Here is a 23,687-nt window from a genome sequence, read left to right as displayed (position 1 = left end):
GAGGATGGATGGATAGATGTATCAGTGGATTGCTGGATGGGTAGCTGGGTGGGGGAATGGATGGATGAGTGGGTAGATGGGTGGATCGGTGGATTGGATGGGTGGGGGAATGCATAGATGAGTGATGAATGGGTGGATCAGCAGATGGGTGGGTGGATGACTAGATGGGTGGGTGAGTGGATAACTGGATGGGTGGGTGAGTGGGTGGATGGATGGATGGATGACAATGTGTTTTCTGAATTGAACAGAACTCTTCAGCATGGTGCTAGAATAGAGAGCACATGACCAAGTCCTTGAGTAGCCTGGGAAGGGCAGGACAACAGATGACACCTGGGCAGAGGTGGCTGTGCTTCTGTGATTAGGAGACAAAGCATGCCCTGGTTGAGGCTCCAAAGGCTGTGCCCTTACCACAGAGACATGTGACTATATCCTTAGAGGCTGGAACATAGAAGCCAGAACATCTTCCCCAGCCAGAGCAGTTCAGGACCATTCTCCCGTATTGAAAATAATGATGAATAGGCCACGCCTGTAATCCCAGCACTTGGGGAGGCCAAGGCAGGCAGATCACGAGTTCAGGAGATCAAGACCATCCTGGCTAACACGGTGAAACCCCGTCTCTACTAAAAATACAAAAAATTAGCCGGGCACGGTGGCGGGTGCCTGTAGTCCCAGCTACTCGGGAGGCTGAGGGAGGACAATGGCATGAACCCAGGAGACGGAGCTTGCAGTGAGCTGAGATCGTGCCACTGCACTCCAGCCTGGGGGACAGAGTGAGACTCCATCTCAAAAAAAATTAAAAAATTAAAAGAAAGAAAATAATGATGAATATGGAGAAAGGCTTTTCATCACCGGCACCATGCAAGCTTGTTCCAACTCCTTTTGACAACGCTTTGTGCAGTTGAGTCCTAGGAGCAGTTCCACGTCTGCAGAGGCTGCTCCTGCTTCACCATAGGTCTCATCATTTATTCATGATGAAAATAAATGTCATCTATCTGACTATAGCAAACCGTACACTCAGGGTCAGCTCGGTGGGAAAACAGTAACATTTCATCATTAACATGAACACAGGGCTGTTTCTTACATAGGAGGACCGGAGTGGTGCGAGGCCATCTGTTTCCATATACGGGTCTCCACCAACAACTTCTCCACCTTCCAGCCTCCCATTCTGTGGGAGGGGGCATCCTGGAAGGGAGCTTGGGGACTGGGTCTATGGACAGCTGACCTGGGCATGAAGTGGGTGGAGAATGAAGTTCCCTGTATCATTTGGGGCTCTCCAGGGTAACAGAACCCCTAGGATATAACCTAGGAGATTTATCTTGAGGACTTACGTGATTGTGTAGGCTGGCAAGTCCAAAATCCACAGGGCAGGCCAGGAGGCTGGAAGCTCAGGCAGGAGCTGCTGCTGCCATCTTCAAGTGGAATTTCTCCTCCAGGAAAGCCCAATGTTTGCTTCTGGGGTTTTCAATGAGCTGGATGAGGCCAATGCACATTTTGGGGGGTTAATCTCCTTAAAGTCAAACTGATGGTAGATGCAAACGCCAGCTACAGCACACCTCCACAGCCACATCTAGATGGGTGTTTGCCTGCATAACTGGGAACTTGAGCGTGGCCACGATCATGAAGAAAGGATCAGCCTCAGTGGGTAACAGTTACAGCAGTTGACAGCTGGGGCGTGGTGGCTGCTGTTTTCCTGCCCAGCTGACCCTGAGTGTACAGTTTGCTATAGTCAGATGGATGATGTTTATTTTAACATCTCAATGATGCATCCCCTATGGTCAGGTTTCCTTGAGTGTACGGTTTGCTATAGTCAGATGGGTGATGTTTATTTTAACATCTCAATGATACATCCCCTACGGTCAGGTTTCCTTGGGTTTTCTCGTTAGGAGGTCACACGACTGTCCCCATTTCTCCAGGTTACAGTAACACAGAGACAGCGAACGTCTACCTGGCATCGGATGGCGAATACTCTCTGCACGGCTTCATCATGCACAATAATGACCTCACATGGAACCTCTTTACATACCTGGAGTTTGCCATCCGAGAGGGAACAAACCAGCACCACAGGGCGTTGGGGAAGAAGGCGGAAGATCTGTTCCAGGTAGCATAACACCCCCGCGGACACCTTTCCGTCTAGCGTGCATTTTGCTAAAACACTTTGACACACAGATCAGTAGGCACCTTGACCAGTCTGTCTCCAGTCTGACAGATCCCAAAGGCTTGGCTCGTTCTGCCTGGAGAACTTAGTGCCGTGGCTCTTGTGTCACTCAGCCCTGGAACAGGTGCAACTTAGACATCCTCCACTGTTATCCAGCAGCTGATGAAAATAGAATTTCCTCCTAGAAACAGGTTTGAAGGCCATGCTCAGGGGCTCACACCTGTCACTCCCAGCACTTTGGGAGGCCAAGTTGGGAGGATGATTTGAGCCCGGGAGTTTGAGACCAGCCTGGGCAACATAGTGAGACCCCCATCTCTACAAAAAATTAACAGTTAGGCTGGGCATGGTGGCATGAGCCTGTAATCCCAGCTAGTTTGGGAGGCCAAGGTGGGCTGATCACCTGAGGTCAGGAGTGCGAGACCAACCTGGCCAACGTGCTGAAACCCCATCTCTACTAAAAATACAAAAAAAAAATTAGCTGGGGATGATGGCGCGTGCCTGTAGTCCCAGCTACTCAAGAGGCTGAGGCAGGAGAATCACTTGAACCCGGGATGTGGTGGTTGCAGTGAGCTGAGATCACGCCACTGCCCTCCAGCCTGGGTGACAGAGCGAAACTCCATCTCAAAAAAAAAAAAAAAAATTAACGATTAGCCAGGTATGATTAGGCAGCTACTTTGGGAGGCCCAGGTGGGTGGGAAGATCACTTGAACCTGGGAGGTCAAGGCTGCAGTGTAAGCCGTGATGGTGCTGCTGCACTCCAGCCCGGGTGACAGAACAAGACTCTGTCTGAAAAATAGAAATAGGAAGGAGTTGGACAGGCTGCCTTAAATGAATGCCCTGTTTCTTCTTTGCTTCAATGGAACTGACACTTGCTTATCTGAGGCCGCTGTTTGCAAAGCGCTCCCTGCATCCTCTCGCCCCTCCTTCCCCTTTCCCCGCCCAGAACCTTCCTGAGGTGGACGTGTGAGATATGGTGGGGTCCGTGGGGCCTGTGCAGATGGGTGGGTCTCGGTCTGCAGGGCTGTGCCAGCCAGGCGTGGGGAGTCTGCTGTGGGCTCGGCTGGCCGTGGCCTCATGCCTCCTTGGCAGCGCTGGCCGAGCTTCTGTGGCAGTGAGCACGGAGTCAGGGTGTGTGTGTGTGATGCAGAGATGAGCCCCAGGGAGCCGGGGGCTTCCTGCAGATGTTGGGGAGAGACATACAGACAGGGAGACACAGAGAGAGAGATAGGCAGACAGAAAGATAGAGGGAGACAGAGACAGACAGAGATGGAGGCAGACAGAGACAGGGAGATAGAGGGAGACAGAAACAGGGAGACAGAAAGACAGAGACAGAGATAGAGTGAGACAGACACGGAGATGGGAGACAGATAGTGAGATAGGGAGAGAGATGGAGAGACAGGGAGACTTGAGAGACAGAGGGAGGCGGAGACAGAGATAGGGAGACAGAAACAAAGATGGAGACAGACAGACACATAGAGGGAGATGGGAGACAGAGACAGGGAGGCTTGGAGAGACAGAGATAGAGGCAGATAGAGACAGAAACAGGAGACAGACATAGAGACAGAGACAGAGGGAGATAGAAAGAAACAGAGACAGGAGACAGAAACAGAGAGAGAGAAAGAGGAAGACAGAGACACACAGACGGAGACAGAGACAGACAGACAGAGACCAAGGGAGAAAGAGTCAGAGAGAGAAGCCAGTGGTGGAGAAGCCGAGAGGCACGGACAGGGGCCCTGAGCTGGCGTGAGCAGCCAGCGTGGGCATCGCAGAGGACAGATCCCTGAGCCCCATGATTGCCACCCACGCAGGGGAGGGCCGGGGAGCCCCCGCGAGATTTAGGGAGCCAGGATGGAGACCGGCTGTCCTGCTGGGAGCGGGGCTCAGAAGCATCCTCAGCTGGGCTTGCTTGCCCTGCAGGGACGGGATGTCCAGGCGAACCCTGGACACAGCACTGAGCCAGGATGAGCCTGGGCTCCTCTGGGACCCGGGGTAGGTGCCACTGGGGGGACTTGGAGAAGCTCGGAGGAGCTTCTCCTCTGCACACCAGAATTCTCGGAGGAGCCCCCTCTGCACACCGCACCATTGTGGTGAAGGCTGAGCCGGGGCACCTGCAGAGACATTGTGGCTTCTCTCCTGGTTTTCTCCAGTGAGGTGTTTGTGGGCCACCCGGAGCCTCCAGGGTGAAAAGCTTTATTGTGAAAAGCCTACTGCGAAAGTCAGACGCTTGGAGTTCAGGCTGTGGTGTGGACCAAGTGATTCCAAGGAGATCGTCCACCACTTTGGGGTCCTCTGTCCCCAGCCAGCCCAGCCCCCACACAGACAAGAGTAGCCCACACAGCTGTGGCATGAAGCCCGCTCTGCAGCCCAGGCGCGGCTGAGCCCCCACGCTCTGGAGCCCTGCACTTCTCCCCCCGACCCCCAGGGAGAGGCTGGGCGAGCCCTCGCCCCGTGTTCTCTGGTGCCCCTAAGCACCTGCTGTGTTCCAGGATGCGTACTACCAGAGCCCGGAGACGCGGCTGAGGTTCATGCGGGCCATGCACGGCATGACGAAGCTGACTGCGTGCCAGGTGGCCACGGCCTTCAATCTGTCCCGCTTCTCCTCCGCCTGCGACGTGGGAGGTGGGTGGCCCCCCCGCCAGGGCTCTCCTTACTTTCGTTTATTAAGCCACAGGTATCTTCCCTGCTCAGGACACCTACCAACTGCCTTTTTCCATTGACAAACCTGATAACGACCTGAACCGGGCCAGGCTGAGTCCCAGATCATGGGTGGATATTCCCAAGTTCCAGGAGGACCCCGGGGATGCCTAAATGCCCCCCTAGAAACTCCGGGGCCCTCTCTTTTGGCTGCGGAGCTGAGGCAGAGCACCTTGGAACCCCTGGATTCCCCTCAGCAAGTCTGATTATATCCTGACTCACCCTCCACCCCACCCCAGCCCTGGACAGTGGGTGGAGCAGTAGACACATTCCCAAGGGCTGCTGGGGGATCGGGGCCTGGGACGATTCTCACACCATCAGCTTACATTTCCCCAACCTCTGAATGCCTCTCCTCCTTGTGGTCCAGAGTGGCTGCTGTAGCACCAGCCATCGTGTCTGCATCCCCATGGCAGGAAGGAGAAGGGAGGAGTACAGCCCCCACCCCTGGGCAGAAAGGATTTCCCTGTAGGTCTGTGCCCCCTACACGTGGCCCAGAGTGGCTGCTGTAGCACCGGCCATTGTGTCTACATCCCCACGGCAGGAAGGAGAAGGGAGTACAGCCCTCCACCCCTGGGCTGGAAGGATTTCCCTGCAGGTCTGTGCCCCCACACTCACCTGCTTGTACAGTCTTGTCTGGGATACCAGCGAGCTCCCCACCACTGGCTTTCCCTTCCAGCATGGGAATCAATGCCATGCCCTTGAACATTACTTCTGCCCCAGTTGAGCTTTGGAGAGTCGTCAGAGTTCCATAGACGACCCAGCCACAGAGCATGCATTTGCTTCCCCGCAGGCTGCACGGGTGCACTGGCCCGAGAGCTGGCCCGTGAGTACCCTCGTATGCAGGTGACTGTGTTTGACCTCCCAGACATTATCGAGCTGGCCGCCCACTTCCAACCCCCCGGACCGCAGGCAGTGCAGATCCACTTCGCAGCAGGTGAGCCCTCCTCCTGTTCACCCTGCTAACCTTTTCCAGACTGCAGCATCTCTTTCTAGACAGAGGGCATGGCTGTGTGTGCACCTGTGTTTCTGCCTGGGCGTTTCCATGGTGGGTATGTGTGTGCAAATGGGACTGTCTACGGTGCTTGTGTGTGTGTGTCTCTCTGTGTGCATGTGTGTGGTATGCCCTGGAGCATACCTGTGACATGGAGCATGTCTGTGCGTGAGCATGTCTGTGTGTGTGTGTGTCTGCATCCGCATGTGTGTGCACGTCTCTGGTGTGTGGTTGCATATGTTTCTGTGAGAGTATGTGTGTGTGTCTGTGTGGGTATATGTGTGCATGTCTGTGTGTGTGTGTCTGCATCTGTGTGCATGCTGTGAGCCGGTGGGTGTCTGTGTGCATATGACTGTCGTGCTTGTGTGTCTGTGTGCATGTGTGTGTGTGTGCATGTCTGTGTCTGTATCTGTGTGCATGGTGTGTGTCTTCCGTGCATATGTAACTGTGTGTGCACGTCTGTGTAGTATGTCCTTGTGTGTGTGTCTGTGCATGAGACTGTGTGTCCACGTGTCTGCAAGTCTCTGTGGTGTGTGGTTGCATATGTTTCTGTGAGGTGATGTGTGTGCATCCGTGTGGATATATGTGTGCATGTCTGTGTATGTGCGTCTGTGTGCCCGTCTGTGTCTGCATTTGTGTGTATGCTGTGTGCTGGTAGGTGTGTGTGTGTATGTGACTGCTGTGGTTGTGTGTCCCTGTGTGCATGTGTCTGTGTGTACGTCTGCATCTGTGTGCATGCTGTGGGCCGGTGGTTGTGTGCATATGTGACTGCTGTGGTTGTGTGTCTGTGTGCATGTGTCTGGGTGTGCTTGTCTGTGTGTCTGCATCTATGTGCATGGTGTGTGTCTGTGTGGATATGTGAGCATCTGCTGTGCTTGTGTCTGTGTCTCTGTGTGTTTCTGAGTCTGTGTGTGCACATCTCTGTGTGGTATGTCCTTGCATGCGTGTCTGTACGTCAGAATGTCTCTGTGTCTGAGTCCGTGTGTGTGTGTGCACCTCTGTGGTGTGTATGTCTCTGAGGGTATGTGTGTCTGCGTGTCTGTGGATATATGTGTACATGTCTGTGTGTGCATGTCTGTGTGCCCATCTGTATCTGTGTGCATGGTGTGTGTGCATGTCACTGCTGTGCTTGTGTGTACGTCTGTGTGTGCATGTGTCTGTGTGTGCATGACTGACTGTGTGTGGTATGTCCTTGTGTGTGCGTGCGTAAGAATGTGTCTCTGTGTCTGCATCTGCGTTTGTGTGTGTGCAACTCTCTGTGGTGTGTGCTTGCATATGTGTGAGGGTATGTGTGTTTCTGTGCGTCTGTGTGGGTATATGTGTGTATGTCTGTGTGTCTGCGTCTGTGTGCCTGTTGGGGTATCTCTGTGTGTCCGTGCGTGTGCCCATCTGTGCATGTCTGCATCCGTGTGTGTGTGCCTGTCGCTGTATCTGTATGTCCATGTGTGTCTGCGTGTCCATCTGTGCATGTCTATGTTTATGTGCGTGTGCCTGTCTGTTGGTGTATCTGTATGTCCGTGTGTGTGTGTGCCCATCTGTGCATGTCTGCGTCTGTGTGTGCCTGTCACTGTATCTGTATGTCCGTGTGTGTGTGTGTCCAGCTGTGCATGTCTGCGTCTGTGTGCGTGCCTGTCTGTTGGTGTATCTGTGTGTCCGTGCGTGTCTGTCTGTGCCCATCTGTGCATGTCTGCGTCTGTGTGTGCCTGTTGCTGTGCATGTCTGCGTCTGTGTGTGCCTGTCGCTATATCTGTATGTCCATGTGTGTGTGCCCATCTGTGCATGTCTGCGTCTGTGTGTGCCTGTTGGTGTATCACTGTGTGTCCGTGCGTGAGTGTGCCCATCTGTGCATGTCTGTCTCTGTGCGCGTGTGCCTGTCACTGTATCTGTGTCCGTGTGTGTGTGTGTGCCTGTCTTGCTGTATCTGTGTGTCCATGTGTGTACCTGTCAGTGTATCTGTGTCCTGCATGTGTCCGTGTGTGCATGTCTTGTGGCGTGTGCTTGCATGTGTGCCTTTGTGTCTGCATTTCTGTGCATCTGGATGGGTATATGTGTGTGTGCCTGTGTCTGTGTCTGTGCGTCCGTGGGTCTGCCTGTGCGTGTCTCTCTGCGGGTCCACACAGACACGAGGGCATCTCCAAACAGGTGGACAAGGCTGGGCACAGTAGCTCACGCCTGTAATCCCAGCACTCTGGGAGGCTGAGGCGGGCGGATCCCCTGTGGTCAGGAGTTCGAGACCAGCCTGGCCAACATGGCGAAACCCCATCTCTACTAAAAATACAAAAATTAGCCGGGCGTGGTGGCGGGCGCCTGTAATCCCAGCTACTCAGGAGGCTGAGGCAGGAAAATCGCTTGAACCTGGGAGGCGGAGGTTGCAGTGAGCTGAGATCTCACCACTGCACTCCAGCCTGGGCAACAAGAGCGAAACTCCATCTCAAAAAAAAAAAGACAATGATAATAATAATGATAAATAAAAATAAACAGGTGGACGACTGTGTGAAGTTATCATCAGTGCAAGTAGCCGAGACGTGAGGGGAGTGGAGATGGGGAACAGCCGAGATCAGCATTCATGGGCATCCACGGTGCCGAGGTCACGGAAGGAACTGACCCGAGAGCCGTCACAGTGTGGCCTTAGGTTAGACTTGAAGGAGAACTTCCAGGTGGCAGCTGCTGAGGCCAGGACGGATTGACAGGAGACGCCTGGAATCCCAGCCCTCTGGGAGGCTGAGGCGGGTGGATCACCTGAGGTCAGGAGTTTGAGACCAGCCAGAGCAACATGGTGAAACCCCATCTCTACTAAAATTACAGAAATTAGCCAGGCATGGTGGCGGGTGCCTATAATCCCACCTATTCAGGAGGCTGAGGCAGGAGAATCGCTTGAACCCGGGAGGCGGAGCTTGCCGTGAGCCGAGATCGCGCCACTGCACTCCAGCCTGGGCAACACAGCAAAACTCCATCTCAAAAAAAATAAAAAAATAAAAAAAGAGACAGCTGACGTGCTGTAACTCAGCACCATCCGACAGCGGCCAGGCCTGTGGGCACAGGTGCTGGGGACCTCCACAACCCTCCCCCAGAGGTTCCTGGATGCTTTTCTCGTTTTTAAAAAAACAAAACGCAACCACCCTACAGCTCCTCCTGCAGGACATCATGATAGCTGTGCTTCTGATTTGCCAGATCTGCAGAGACAGAAATGCTGAAATTTATTTATGTTTGAATGGTGTCTCGCTCTGTCACCCAGGCTGGAGTGCAGTGGCGTGATCTTAGCTCACTGCAACCTCCACTTCCTGGGTTCAAGGGATCCTCCCACCTCAGCCTCCCGAGTAGCTGGGGTGACAAGTGCCCGCCACCACGCCTGGCTAACTTTTGTATTTTTAGTACAGATGGGGTTTCACCATGTTGGCCAGGCTGGTCTCGAACTCCTCACCTCAGGTCATCCACCCGTCTTGGCCTCCCAAAGTGCTGGGATTACACCCCGCCCGGCCGGAAATGCTAAAGTTTAAAATCATGAGCCCTGAAAGAGCACCTTCTCCTCGCAGCTGGGGGAAAACAGCTCTGGAGACTTCCCACCGCACACTCTCCCGCCCCTTCTTTCCCCTCATGCAACTCACAGCTTGCTATTTATCCTCTCCCTGTCCTGCAGACCGGAGGTCTGAGATCAAGGCATCTCAGGGCTGTGCTCCCTCTGGAGGCTCTAGGGGAGGATCCTTCCTGCCTCTCCCAGCTCCTGGGGGCTCCGGGTGTCCCTGGGCTTGTAGCCGCATCACTCCAGTCTCTGCCTCCATCTCCACGTGGCCTTCTCCTCTGTGTGTCTCCTCTTCTGTCTCTTAGAAGGACACCTGCCATTGCATTTAGGGCCCACCCTACTCCAGGATGATCCCATCTCCAGATCCTTAATTACATCTGCAAAGAAACTTTATCCAAATGAGGTCCCATTCCCAGGTTCTGGGGCTTAGGACTTGGACAGATCTTTTGGACGTCACCACCCAACCCATTGCAGTTGTGTTTGATTCTTTCTGAGAGGCTCTAGGGGAGGATCCTTCCCGCCTCTTCCAGCTCCTGGGGGCTCCAGGCGTCCCTGGGCTTGTGGCCGCATCACTCCAGTCTCTGCCTCCGTCTCCACGTGGCCTTCTCCTCTGTGTCTGTCTCCTCTTCTGTCTCTTAGAAGGACACCTGTCATTGGATTTAGGGGACACCCTACTCCAGGATGATCTCATTTTGAAATTCTTTACTCAATGACATCCATAGAGACCCTATTTCCAGATAAGGTCCCATTCCCAGCGACTGAGGGTCAGCACCTGAATATATCTTTTAAGGGGACACCATTCACTGCACTACAGCAGACCATCTTTTTATTTCAGCAATTACAGAGGGGCGTGCAGCTACATGCGCCCCCCGCAACAGGCAACCCTCCTGGGGCGCCTGAATCAGGGGATCACCAGAGAAGGCCCTGCCATTGCCCACTCACCGGCAGTGCGGCCCCGACTCTCCCTGGCACACGCCCATGTGCGCCGACTCTGCCTGCCTCGCCCAGGTGCTGCCCCTGAATTCCCTGCTTTTTTCCTCCCTTGCCTTCTTGTCGCCCAGGCTGGAGTGCGATGGCGCGATCTCGGCTCACTGCAACCTCCACCTCCCAGGTTCAAGCGATTCTCCTGCCTCAGCCTCCCGCGTAGCTGGGATGACAGGCGCCCGCCACCCCTGTCCAGCTAATTTGCATTTTTAGTAGAGATGGGGTTTCGCCGTGTTGCCCAGGCTGGTCTCGAACTCCTGAGCTCAGACAATCTGCCCACCTCAGGCTCCCAAAATGCTGAGATTACAGGTGTGAGCCACTGTCCCCAGCGTTTTCTCAGCCCGAGTCAAACCGCACGGGCGTGACATCACTAACCAGCTCCTCATGGAGCTCTGTTCAAGTCCCCACGGGGATGTACTTCAGGAAGACCCATTCCCGCCCACACCCCTCTCTTCTCTGTCCCTGATTTAGGATGCGGGTGGCCGTCCCAGGATCTGTCCGGGGAGGACTGCTTCTTCCATACCTGACGGACGTATCTCGTTTTGTCTTTAAACCAGGTGACTTTTTCAGGGACCCCCTCCCCAGCGCTGAGCTGTACGTCCTGTGCCGGATCCTGCATGACTGGCCAGACGACAAAGTCCACAAGTTACTCAGCAGGGTCGCCGAGAGCTGCAAGCCAGGTGAGAGCCCATCGTCAGGTTAGCTGTTTTTGTTAAGACGTAGTATTTTGGGTTCAAGTTTTACAAGGAGGCCGGGCGCGGTGGCTCACGCCTGTCATCCCAGCGCTTTGGGAGGCCGAGGCGGGCGGATCACCTGAGGTCAGGAGTTTCAGACCAGCCTGGCCAACGTGGTGAAACCCCATCGCTACTAAAAATACAAAAATTAGCCAGGCGTGGTGGCTCATGCCTATAATCCCAGCACTTTGGGAGGCTGAGGCAGGTGGATCACCCGGGGTGAGCAGTTCGAGACCAGCCTGGCCAACATGGTGAAACCCCGTCTCTACTAAAAATACAAAAATTAGCCAGGTGTGGTAGTGCGCACCTGTAATCCCAGGTACTTCAGAGGCTGAGGCAGGAGAATCACTTGAACCCGGGAGCTGGAGACTGCAGTGAGCCGAGATCGCGCCACTGCACTCCAGCCTGGGCGACGGAGTGAGATTCGGTGTCAAAAAAGAACAACCACAACAAAAAAAGAATTGGCTTATGTGACTTTGGAGGTTGGCAGGTCCAGCGTCTGGGTGAGAGGCCCGCTAAATTGTGGAGGGTAAATCTGCTGTATTTAAAGTTGGCCAGTGTGGCCAGGTGTGGTGGCTCACGCCTGTCATCCCCGCACTTCGGGAGGCCGAGGCGGGCGGATCACCTGAGGTCGGGGGTTTGAGACCAGCCTGGCCAACATGGTGAAACCCCGTCTCTATTAAAAACAAACACAAAAAATAAGCCGGGCTTGATAGCGGGTGCCTGTAATCCCAGCTACTCAGGAGGCTGAGGCAGGAGAATCGCTTGAACCTGGAGACGGAGGTTGCAGTGAGCCGAGACTGCGCCACCGCACTCCAGCCTGGGTAACAGAGCGAGACTCCATCTCAAAAAAAAAAAAAAAAAAAAAAAAGAAAATCCTAAAGAGAAAATATATTTACTATTCGTGAAGTTGAAGTGGCTCATGATAAAAGTCTTCATTCTTGAGGAGGTCTTCACACTGAGGAGGCTGCAGAGGAGGAAGCCGTGGGCTGGTGTTGCTGTCTCAGGGGTGGCCGAGGCAGAGGGAAATCCACGCATGAGTGGACTCTGCAGCTGGATCTAATCTGTGTGTTTCTACGCAGACACACGTGCACACACACACAGCACGCACCATCTCGGCTCAAAGCCTTCACATCAGGTTTCTCCCCCGTCCACCCAGGCTGCTCCTGGAGCCCAGTGGGGCTGCTGGAAACCCTGGCTCCAGGGGTTCGGGCCAGGGCTGCATATTGGGTTTCCACAGTTGAACCAGCTGGCCCTGAGGGAATCTGACGGGCACTCAGCCTCCCTCAAGAGTTCAGCGTTGTTGCTCCAGTGAGAATTCCTGGAATATTTGCAGACAACGGTTAATTATCTTCACAGAGCCAGGGCCTGGCACCTGCGCGTTGAAACAGGACTCCCCATAGGCTCAAATGGTCAAGAGACTTCCATTCTTCTCTCCCTCTGTCTCTCCTTCTTTCTCTCTTTCTCTGTGTATCTCTCTTCTTTTTTTTTTTTGAGACGGAGTCTCGCTCTGTCGCCCAGGCTGGAGTGCAGTGGCACGATCTTGGCTCTCCGTAACCTCCACCCCCAGGGTTCAAGTGATTCTCCTGCCTCAGCCTCCCGAGTAGCTGGATTACTGGCACATACCACCACGCCCGGCTAATTTTTTATTTTTAATAGAGACAGGGTTTCTCCATGTTGGTCAGGCTGGTCTCGAACTCCCAACCTCGGGTGATCCACCCAGCTGGGACTCCCAAAGTGTTGGGATTACAGGCGTGAGCCACCTCGCCCGGCTCTATTATATTTTTTGAGACGAGGTCTCACTCTGCTGCCCAGGCTGGTGTGCAGTGGAGCAGTCACAGGTCACTGCAGCCTTGACCTCCTAGGCTCAAGCTGTCCTCCCACCTCAGCCTCCCGAGTAGCTGGAAGTACAGGCATGCATCATGCATCACCATGCCCAGCTAATTTTTTAAGAAGTTTTTTCTGAGACCGGGCACGGTGGCTCACACCTGTAATCCCAGCACTTTGGGAGGCCAAAGCGGGCAGATCTCGAGGTCAGGAGTTCGAGACCAGCCTAAGCCACGTGGTGAAACCCCGCCTCTACTAAAAATACAAAAATTAGTCCGGCGTAGTGGTGCACGCCTCTAATTCTAGCTACTCAGGAGGCTGAGAGAGGACATCACTTGAACCTGGGAGGCGAAGGTTGCAGTGAGCAGAGATCGCGCCACTGCACTCCAGCCTGGGCAACACAGCAAGACTCCGTCTCAGAAAAAAAAAAAAAAGTTTTTTGTGGAGATAGGAGTCCCCCTCTGTCACCCAGGCTGGAGTGCAGTGTTGTCATCATAGTTCACTGCAGCCTTGACCTCCTGGGCTCAAGCGATCCTCCTGCCTCAGCCTCCCGAGTATTTGGGAGTACCAGCATTTGGCTGGAGGGCAGTGTTGTCATCATAGTTCACTGCAGCCTTGACCTCCTGGGCTCAAGCGATCCTCCTGCCTCAGCCTCCCGAGTATTTGGGAGTACCAGCATTTGGCTGGAGGGCAGTGTTGTCATCATAGTTCACTGCAGCCTTGACCTCCTGGGCTCAAGCGATCCTCCTGCCTCAGCCTCCCGAGTATTTGGGAGTACCAGCATTTGGCTGGAGGGCAGTGTTGTCATCATAGTTCACTGCAGCCTTGACCTCCTGGGCTCAAGCGATCCTCCTGCCTCAGCCTCCCGAGTATTTGGGAGTACCAGCATTTGGCTGGAGGGCAGTGTTGTCATCATAGTTCACTGCAGCCTTGACCTCCTGGGCTCAAGCGATCCTCCTGCCTCAGCCTCCCGAGTATTTGGGAGTACCAGCATTTGGCTGGAGGGCAGTGTTGTCATCATAGTTCACTGCAGCCTTGACCTCCTGGGCTCAAGCGATCCTCCTGCCTCAGCCTCCCGAGTATTTGGGAGTACCAGCATTTGGCTGGAGGGCAGTGTTGTCATCATAGTTCACTGCAGCCTTGACCTCCTGGGCTCAAGCGATCCTCCTGCCTCAGCCTCCCGAGTATTTGGGAGTACCAGCATTTGGCTGGAGGGCAGTGTTGTCATCATAGTTCACTGCAGCCTTGACCTCCTGGGCTCAAGCGATCCTCCTGCCTCAGCCTCCCGAGTATTTGGGAGTACCAGCATTTGGCTGGAGTGCAGTGTTGTCATCATAGTTCACTGCAGCCTTGACCTCCTGGGCTCAAGCGATCCTCCTGCCTCAGCCTCCCGAGTATTTGGGAGTAGCAGCATTTGGCTGGAGTGCAGTGTTGCCATCATAGTTCACTGCAGCCTTGACCTCCTGCACTCAAGCGATCCTCCTGCCTCAGCCTCCCGAGTATTTGGGAGTACCAGCATTTGGCTGGAGGGCAGTGTTGTCATCATAGTTCACTGCAGCCTTGACCTCCTGGGCTCAAGCGATCCTCCTGCCTCAGCCTCCCGAGTATTTGGGAGTACCAGCATTTGGCTGGAGGGCAGTGTTGTCATCATAGTTCACTGCAGCCTTGACCTCCTGGGCTCAAGCGATCCTCCTGCCTCAGCCTCCCGAGTATTTGGGAGTACCAGCATTTGGCTGGACTGCAGTGTTGTCATCATAGTTCACTGCAGCCTTGACCTCCTGGGCTCAAGCGATCCTCCTGCCTCAGCCTCCCGAGTATTTGGGAGTAGCAGCATTTGGCTGGAGTGCAGTGTTGCCATCATAGTTCACTGCAGCCTTGACCTCCTGCACTCAAGCGATCCTCCTGCCTCAGCCTCCCGAGTATTTGGGAGTAGCAGCATTTGGCTGGAGGGCAGTGTTGTCATCATAGTTCACTGCAGCCTTGACCTCCTGGGCTCAAGCGATCCTCCTGCCTCAGCCTCCCGAGTATTTGGGAGTAGCAGCATTTGGCTGGAGGGCAGTGTTGCCATCATAGTTCACTGCAGCCTTGACCTCCTGCACTCAAGCGATCCTCCTGCCTCAGCCTCCCGAGTATTTGGGAGTACCAGCATTTGGCTGGAGGGCAGTGTTGTCATCATAGTTCACTGCAGCCTTGACCTCCTGGGCTCAAGCGATCCTCCTGCCTCAGCCTCCCGAGTATTTGGGAGTACCAGCATTTGGCTGGAGGGCAGTGTTGTCATCATAGTTCACTGCAGCCTTGACCTCCTGGGCTCAAGCGATCCTCCTGCCTCAGCCTCCCGAGTATTTGGGAGTACCAGCATTTGGCTGGACTGCAGTGTTGTCATCATAGTTCACTGCAGCCTTGACCTCCTGCACTCAAGCGATCCTCCTGCCTCAGCCTCCCGAGTATTTGGGAGTAGCAGCATTTGGCTGGAGGGCAGTGTTGTCATCATAGTTCACTGCAGCCTTGACCTCCTGGGCTCAAGCGATCCTCCTGCCTCAGCCTCCCGAGTATTTGGGAGTACCAGCATTTGGCTGGAGGGCAGTGTTGTCATCATAGTTCACTGCAGCCTTGACCTCCTGCACTCAAGCGATCCTCCTGCCTCAGCCTCCCGAGTATTTGGGAGTACCAGCATTTGGCTGGAGGGCAGTGTTGCCATCATAGTTCACTGCAGCCTTGACCTCCTGCGCTCAAGCGATCCTCCTGCCTCAGCCTCCCGAGTATTTGGGAGTACCAGCATTTGTTATCATGCCCTGTTAGGGTTTTTTAAATTTTGTAGAGATGGGATCTTGCGATGTTGCCCAGGCTACCCTTCCTGGGCTCAAGCGATCCTCCTGCCTCAGCCTCCCAAAATGCTGGGGTTAAAGACATGAGCCACTGCACCCGGCCTCTGTCTCTCTTTCTCTCTCTTCTCCCTCTTCCTCTCTGTCTCCTCCTCTCTGTGTCTTTTTAGGTATCTCATCTATCATCATCAATCTCTGTTTCTCTTCTCTCCTCCTTCCTCCTTTATCTTCTCTGTCTCTTCCTCCCTCTCTCCACCCTGTCTCTGTCTCTCTTTATACATCTATCATCCTTTTTTAAAAAAAATAAAATAGAGACAGGGTCTCACTATGTTGCTCAGGTTGGTTTCAAACTCCTGGGCTCAAACCATCCTCCCACCTCTGCCTCCCAAAGTGCTGCGATTACAGGTGTGAGCCACTGCGTCTGGCCTTCTAACAATGCTCCGTCACCTGTCATCTGTCTATCATTTATTATCTATCCATCCATCCATCATCTACCTACCCATCATCTACCATATATTCACCCATCCATCCATCTCATCCATGCATCCATCTATCCATCTATTCATCTATCTACCTATCATCTACCATCTATTCACCCATCCATCCATCTCATGAATGCATCCATCTATATCCATCCATTCATCTACCTACCTGCCCATCACCTACCATCAATACACCCATCCATCTCATCCATCTATCCATCCATTCATCTACCTGCCCATCATGTACCATCTATTCAGCCATCCATCCATCTCATCCATGCATCCATCTATCCATCCATCCATCTACCTACCTACCCATCATCTACCATCTATTCACCCAGCCATCCATCTCATCCATGCATCCATCTATATACATCCATTCATCTATCTACCTACCCATCATCTACCATCAGTTCACCCATCCATCCATCCATCTACCCATCATCTACCATCAGTTCACCCATCCATCTCATCCATGCATGCATCCATCCATCCATCCATCTACCTACCCATCATCTACCATCTATTCACCCATCCATCCAATCCATGCATCTATCCATCCATTCATCTACCTACCCATCATCTACTATCTATTCACCCATCCATCTCATCCATGCATCCATCTATTCATCTATCTATGTACCCATCATCTACCATCTATTCACCCATCCATCCATCTGTTCCATGCACCCATCTATCCATCCATTCATCTACCTACCCATCATCTATTATCTATTCACCCATCCATCCATCTCATGCATGCATCCATGTATCTATCCATTCATCTACCTACCTACCCATCATCTACCATCTATTCACTAATCCATCCATCTCATGCATGCATCCATCTATCCATCCATTCATCTACCTACTTAACCATCATCTACTATCTATTCACCCATCCATCCATCACATCCATGCATCCATCTACCTACCTACCTATCTATTCACCCATACATCCATCTCATCCATGCCATCTATCCATCCATCCATCCACCTACCTACCCATCATCTACCATCTATTCAAGCATCCATCACATCCATACATCCATCTATCCATCCACTCATCTATCTACGTACCCATCATCTACCATCTATTCACCCATCCCTCCATCCATCTCATCCATGCATCCATCTATCCATCCATTCATCTACCTACCTACCCATCATCTACCATCTATTCACCTATCCATCCATCTCATCCATGAATCCATCCATCCATCTACCTACCTACCCATCATCTACCATCTATTCACCCAACCATCCATCTCATCCATGCACCCATCTATTCATCTTCCTACCTACCCATCATCTACCATCTATTCACCCATCCATCCATCTCATCCATCCATTCATCTATCTACCCATCATCTACCATCTATTCAGCCATCCATCCATCTCATCCATGCATCCATCTATACATCCATCTACCTACCTACCTACCCATTTATTCACCCATCCATCCATCTCATCCATGCCTCCATCTATCCATCCACCTACCTACCCATCGTCTACCATCTATTCACCCATCCATCACATCCATACATCCATCTATCCATCCATTCATCTATCTACGTACCCATCATCTACCATCTACTCATCCATTCATCCATCCATCCACTCATCTACCTACCCATCATCTACCATCTATTCACCCATCCATCTCATCCATGCATCCATCTATCCATCCATCCATCTACCTATGTACCCATCAGCTACCATCTATTCACCCAACCATCCATCTCATCCATGCATCCATCTATTCATCTTCCTACCTACCCATCATCTACCATCTATTCACCCATCCATCCATCTCATCCATACATCCATATATCCATCCATTCATCTATCTACCTGCCCATCATGTACCATCTATTCACCCATCCATCCATCTCATCCATGCATCCATCTATCCATCCATTCATCTATCTACCTACCCATCATCTACCATCTATTCACCCATCCATCCATCTCATGCATGCATCCATCTATCCATCCATCCGTCTACCTACCTACCCATCATCTATACACCCATCCATCTCATGCATGCATCCATCTATCTATCCACTCATCTACCTACCTAACCATCATCTACTATCTATTCACCCATCCATCCATCACATCCATGCATCCATCTATACATCCATCTATCTACCTACCTACCTATTCACCCATCCATCCATCTCATCCATGCCTCCATCTATCCATCCACCTAACGATCCATCATCTACCATCTATTCACCCATCCATCACATCCATCTATCCATCCACTCATCTATCTACGTACCCATCATCTACCATCTGTTCACCCATCCATCCATCTATCCATCCATTCATCTATCTACGTACCCATCATCTACCATCTATTCACCCAACCATCCATCTCATCCATGCACCCATCTATTCATCTACCTACCTACGCATAATCTACCATCTGTTCACTCATCCATCCATCTCATCCATGCATCCATCTATCCATCCATTCATCTATCTACGTACCCATCATCTACCATCTATTCATCCATTCATCCATCTATCCATCCACTCATCTACCTACCCATCATCTACCATCTATTCACCCATCCATCCCTCTCATCCATGCATCCATCTATCCATCCATACATCTACCTACGTACCCATCAGCTACCATCTATTCACCCAACCATCCATCTCATCCATGCATCCAACTATTCATCTTCCTACCTATCCATCAGCTACCATCTATTCACCCATCCATCCATCTCATCCATACATCCATATATCCATCCATTCATCTATCTACCTGTCCATCATGTACCATCTATTCACCCATCCATCCATCTCATCCATGCATCCATCTGTCCATCCATTCATCTACCTACCCATCATCTACCATCTATTCACCCATCCATCCATCTCATCCATGCATCCATCTATCCGTCCATTCGTCTACCTACCTACCCATCATCTATCATCTATACACCCATCCATCCATCTCATGCATGCATCCATCTATCCATCCATTCATCTACCTACTTACCTAACCATCATCTACTATCTATTCACCCATCCATCCATCCATCTATACATCCATCTATCTACCTACCTACCCATCTATTCACCCATCCATCCATCTCATCCATGCCTGCATCCATCCATCCATCCATCCACCTACCTACCCATCATCTACCATCTATTCACCCATCCATCTCATCCATGCATTCATCTATCCATCCATTCATCTATCTATGTACCCATGATCTACCATCTATTCACCCATCCATCCATCCATCTCATCCATGCATCCATCTATCCATCCATTCATCTACCTACCTACCCATCATCTACCATCTATTCACCCATCCATCTCATCCATGCATCCATCTATCCATCCATCTACCTACGTACCCATCATCTACCATCTATTCACCCAACCATCCATCTCATCCATGCACCCATCTATTCATCTTCCTACCTACCCATCATGTACCATCTATTCACCCATCCATCCATCTCGTCCATGCATCCATCTATCCATCCGTCTACCTGCCCATCATGTACCATCTATTCACCCATCCATCCATCACATCCATGCATCCATCTGTCCATCCACTCATCTACCTACCTACCCATCATCTACCATCTATTCACCCATCCATCCATCTCATACATGCATCCATCTATCCATCCATCCATGTACCTCCCCATCACTTACCATCTGTTCATCCATCCATCCTTCTCATCCATGCGTCCACCTATCCATACATCTTTCTACCTACCTACCCACCCATCATCTACCATCTGTTCATCCATGCATCCAGGAGAACCGGAAAAGGCCCAGGTGATGCATCCATCTATCCATCCATCTTTCGATCAAATCTCCTTCTCCCTGTCTGTCCGCCCTGCATCAAGTCTCTGTCTCTCTCCCCTCCCCTACCTGTGTGGGCCCCCTGGCCAAGGGTTCTCAGCAGCCTCTGCTCACCGTTCTGAGCTCCTGTTGCCTGCTGTGTCCCCTGTGTCCTGCTGAAGGATCCCCGCCTGGCTGGCCAGGACTCCAGCTCTCTGCTGTCTCCCTCAGGGGCCGGCCTGCTGCTGGTGGAGACGCTCCTGGATGAGGAGAAGAGGGTGGCGCAGCGCGCCCTGATGCAGTCACTGAACATGCTGGTGCAGACTGAAGGCAAGGAGCGGAGCCTGGGCGAGTATCAGTGCTTGCTGGAGCTGCACGGCTTCCACCAGGTGCAGGTGGTGCACTTGGGGGGTGTCCTGGATGCCATCTTGGCCACCAAAGTGGCCCCCTGAAGCCCAGGCAGCATGTTCATTATAGGGATGTCCTCCCCCAGGCTGCAGGTGGACCGCCCGGTCCCCAAGTACCATAGGACAGTCACATAGGAGCGTGTAGTCGTGACTGAATAAAGAAAGCAAAAGCCTGTCTCTGCCTCCTCCATAGGGGTTTTGATGAGGGAGACGGCTGCATTTAGGGAGGAGGAGACAGAGGCTGCATTTGGGGAGTGGGGGAAGGAGGCTGCTTTTGGGAAGGAGGAGACAGAGGCTGCATTTGGGGAGGAGGGGAAGGAGACGGCATTTGGGGAGGGGGGGACAGAGGCTGCATTTGGGGAGGACAGGAGGCTGCATTCGGGGAGGAGAGGATGGAGGCTGCATTCGGGGAGGAGGGGAAGGAGGCTGCATTCGGGGAGGAGGGGAAGGAGGCTGCATTCGGGGAGGAGGGGAAGGAGGCTGCATTCGGGGAGGAGGGGAAGAGGCTGCATTTGGGGAGGGGGGAAGGAGGTGGCATTTGGGGAGGGGGACAGAGGCTGCATTTGGGGAGGAGGGGAAGGAGGCTGCATTTGGGGAGTGGGGACAGAGGCTGCATTTTGGGAGGGGGAAGGAAGCTGCATTGGGGAGGAGCGAGGAGAAAGAGGCTGCATTTGGGGAGGAGGGGAAGGAGGCTGCATTTGGGGAGTGGGGACAGAGGCTGCATTTTGGGAGGGGGAAGGAGGCTGCATTTGGGGAGGAGGAGGGAAAGGAGGCTGCTTTTGGGAAGGAAGCTGTATTGGGGGAGGAAGGGAAAGAGGCTGTATTTGGGGAGTGGGGACAGAGGCTGAATTTTGGGAGGGGGGAAGGAGGCTGCATTCAGGGAGGAGGGGACGGAGGCTGAATTGGGGGAGGAGGGGATGGAGGCTGCATTTTTAGAGGAGGAGATGGAGGCTGCATTCGGGGAGGAGGGGACGGAGGGACAGCCAGGAATAACTGTTCAGCCCACGGATGTTCTGGGAACCAGCAGCCTTCCAGAGTAGCCAGTGGGGACTCCCGGGGAGGGCGGTGGGGACAGGGCTTTCTCCTACCTCCTAGCAGGCAGACGGCTGCTGTGACGGTGCCGTCTACCAGGCAGGGTCTCAGTCCTTCTCCGCACTCCAGCCTGCATCTTCCCATCTTCTGCACGATTTCCAGTGTGTTTCCTCCATGGGGCGCCATCGCTGCCGCTCACCCCTGGATGCCCACAGGCTATGGAGTGGCAGTTCTCTGGGCGGCTTCCATCTCTCCTGCCTTGGTGCAGAGACTGTCACGAGCGGGACCTCCCCAGCCCCTGCTGCGGGGCTGAAATGCGTCTGTAAACACCCCCCACCCCGAGCCCAGGCAGGCCAGACTCACACCCACCCCGTGAGGCCCTCCTGGGCACATGCTCACTGCGGTTGTAGGGAGCTCAGCGCATCCACGTTTCCCCCGTGCTCCGCTCCCAGCTGCTGTTCCCGGCCTGTGTCCCGACCCTCAGACCTCAGTTCACCCTCTGGTGCCCACACAGCCCCCTTTCCTCCCTGGCCCCTCCACCAGGGAATGGCTGGGCCAACCTGGGGCTGGGCTGGGGTGGAGCCCTTTAACTCACAGCCTTGACCTTAGGAGGCACTGAGGTTCAGGAGGCATCTGCAAAGCGAGAACCGGAGCAGGCCTAGGTGCTGTTTTCACGGCGCGTGCACCCAGCTTACCTGTTCCTGGGCTGGGCGTCAGTCTCCTATATTTCAGCTGTTTTCCTTTTTCTGAGACAGACTCTGGAGTTTAGCTCTTCTTACCCAGACTGGAGTACAATAATGCAATCTCGGCTCACTGCAACCTCCGCCTCCTGGGCAGTCTATTTCAAGGTGCAAACTCCGCCTCCTGGGCGGCCTATTTCAAGGTGGAAGCCCCACCTTCTAGGCCTATTTCAAGGTGCAAGCCCCGCCTCCCGGGCGGCCTATTACAAGGTGCAAGCTCCGCCTCCCAGGCGGCCTGTTTCAAGGTGCAACCCCACCTCCCGGGCGGCCTATTTCAAGGGGCAAGCCCTGCCTCCTGGGCGGCCTATATCAAGGTGCGAGCTCTGCCTCCCAGGCAGCCTATTTCAAGGTGCAACCCCGCCTCCTGGGCGGCCTATTTCAAGGGGCAAGCCCCGCCTCCTGGGTGGCCTATTTCAAGGTGCAACCCCGCCTTCTGGGCGGCCTATTTCAAGGTGCAAGCCCCGCCTCCCGGGCGGCCTATTTCAAGGCGCAAGCTCCGCCTCCTAGCCCAATTTCAAGGTGCACCCTCTGCCTCCTGGGCGGCCTATTTCAAGGTGCTCACTGCACAGATGGGAGTGGTTTTCTGCAATGGTCACGGATGATCTCAATAACACCAAAGTCACATGCTGCTCCACCCTTACAGTGGCCTGGTATCACAAAAGAATGTGTAGGTTGCTTTGTGCTTTAAGAAAACAGCTGAAATAGGCTGGGTGCAGTGGCTCACGCCTGTCATCCCAGCACTTTGGGAGGCTGAGGTGGGCGGATCACCTGTGGTCAGGAATTCGAGACCAGCCTGGCCAACAGAGTGAAATCCTGTCTCTACACAAAATACAAACACTAGCCGGGCATAGTGGCAGGAGCCTATAATCCCAGCTACAGGGGGGAGGCTGAGACAGGAGGATGGCTTGAACCCAGTAGGTGGAGGTTGCAGTGAGCCGAGATTGTGCCACTGCACTCCAGCCTGGGCGACAGAGTGAGACTCCGTCTAAATAAATAAATAAAAGAAAACAAAACTGATCTCTATATATTTTATGTAATATAAATTATGTGTTCCATAAATTCTGTAAATTATGTGTTCTATCCGTGTACAGGCACGTGTGTAGAGGTGTGAGTGTTCAGGTGTGTATACATACACATACACACCCATCTGTGCGCACACACACACACACACACACACAGTCACGTGTGTCACTGAATGACAGGGACCTGTTTCGGGAAATGCATCCTTAGGCAATTCTCTTTGTGTGCCCATCACGGGGTGCACTCACACATACCGCCGTGGCACATACAGCCTGCTACTCACCTGGGCTGTGCGGCAGGGCCCCAGGCTCCCGGGCTACAAACCTGGACAGCAGGTGAGTGTGCCCAGTGCTGCAGGCTGCTGTAATACAATGGTAGGGATTTGTGTGTCTACAAATAAAGGCACACGAAAACTACTGTATTACCATCTCCTGGGACCTCCGCTGTCTAGGA

The 23,687-nt window shown here is 53.2% G+C and overlaps 1 protein-coding gene and 1 long non-coding RNA gene across 5 annotated transcripts in view; one reads left to right on the top strand and one right to left on the bottom strand.

Moving 5' to 3' along the window:
- Positions 1–20,617, top strand: part of ASMTL (acetylserotonin O-methyltransferase like) — a 50,618-nt gene extending 30,001 nt beyond the window's left edge. For all 3 annotated transcript variants that reach the window (NM_001173473.2, NM_001173474.2, NM_004192.4), the window contains 5 exons: positions 1,914–2,098; positions 4,642–4,774; positions 5,640–5,783; positions 10,902–11,024; positions 20,267–20,617. In NM_001173473.2, the coding sequence (NP_001166944.1) occupies positions 1,914–2,098; positions 4,642–4,774; positions 5,640–5,783; positions 10,902–11,024; positions 20,267–20,487 (806 nt within the window). In that variant the 3' untranslated portion in view covers positions 20,488–20,617. The remainder of the gene's footprint in view (positions 1–1,913; positions 2,099–4,641; positions 4,775–5,639; positions 5,784–10,901; positions 11,025–20,266) is intronic.
- ASMTL-AS1 (ASMTL antisense RNA 1) lies at positions 8,335–23,225 on the bottom strand. Of its 2 annotated transcripts, NR_026711.1 has the most exons (6): positions 23,170–23,225; positions 21,531–22,294; positions 20,171–20,295; positions 10,868–11,013; positions 9,446–9,994; positions 8,335–9,013 (listed from the first exon to the last, which is right to left on the bottom strand). It is a non-coding gene; the product is annotated as an ASMTL antisense RNA 1 (long non-coding RNA). The 2 variants fall into 2 exon arrangements; NR_026710.1 differs by lacking the exons at positions 8,335–9,013; positions 9,446–9,994 and having other exon boundaries at positions 10,170–11,013.

The sequence above is a fragment of the Homo sapiens genome, chromosome Y (genome assembly GCF_000001405.40).
Source record: "Homo sapiens chromosome Y, GRCh38.p14 Primary Assembly".
Classification (NCBI taxonomy): Eukaryota; Metazoa; Chordata; class Mammalia; order Primates; family Hominidae; genus Homo; species Homo sapiens.
Note: the sequence above shows the minus strand (reverse complement) of the source record. Positions and strands in the feature narration are given on the sequence as shown.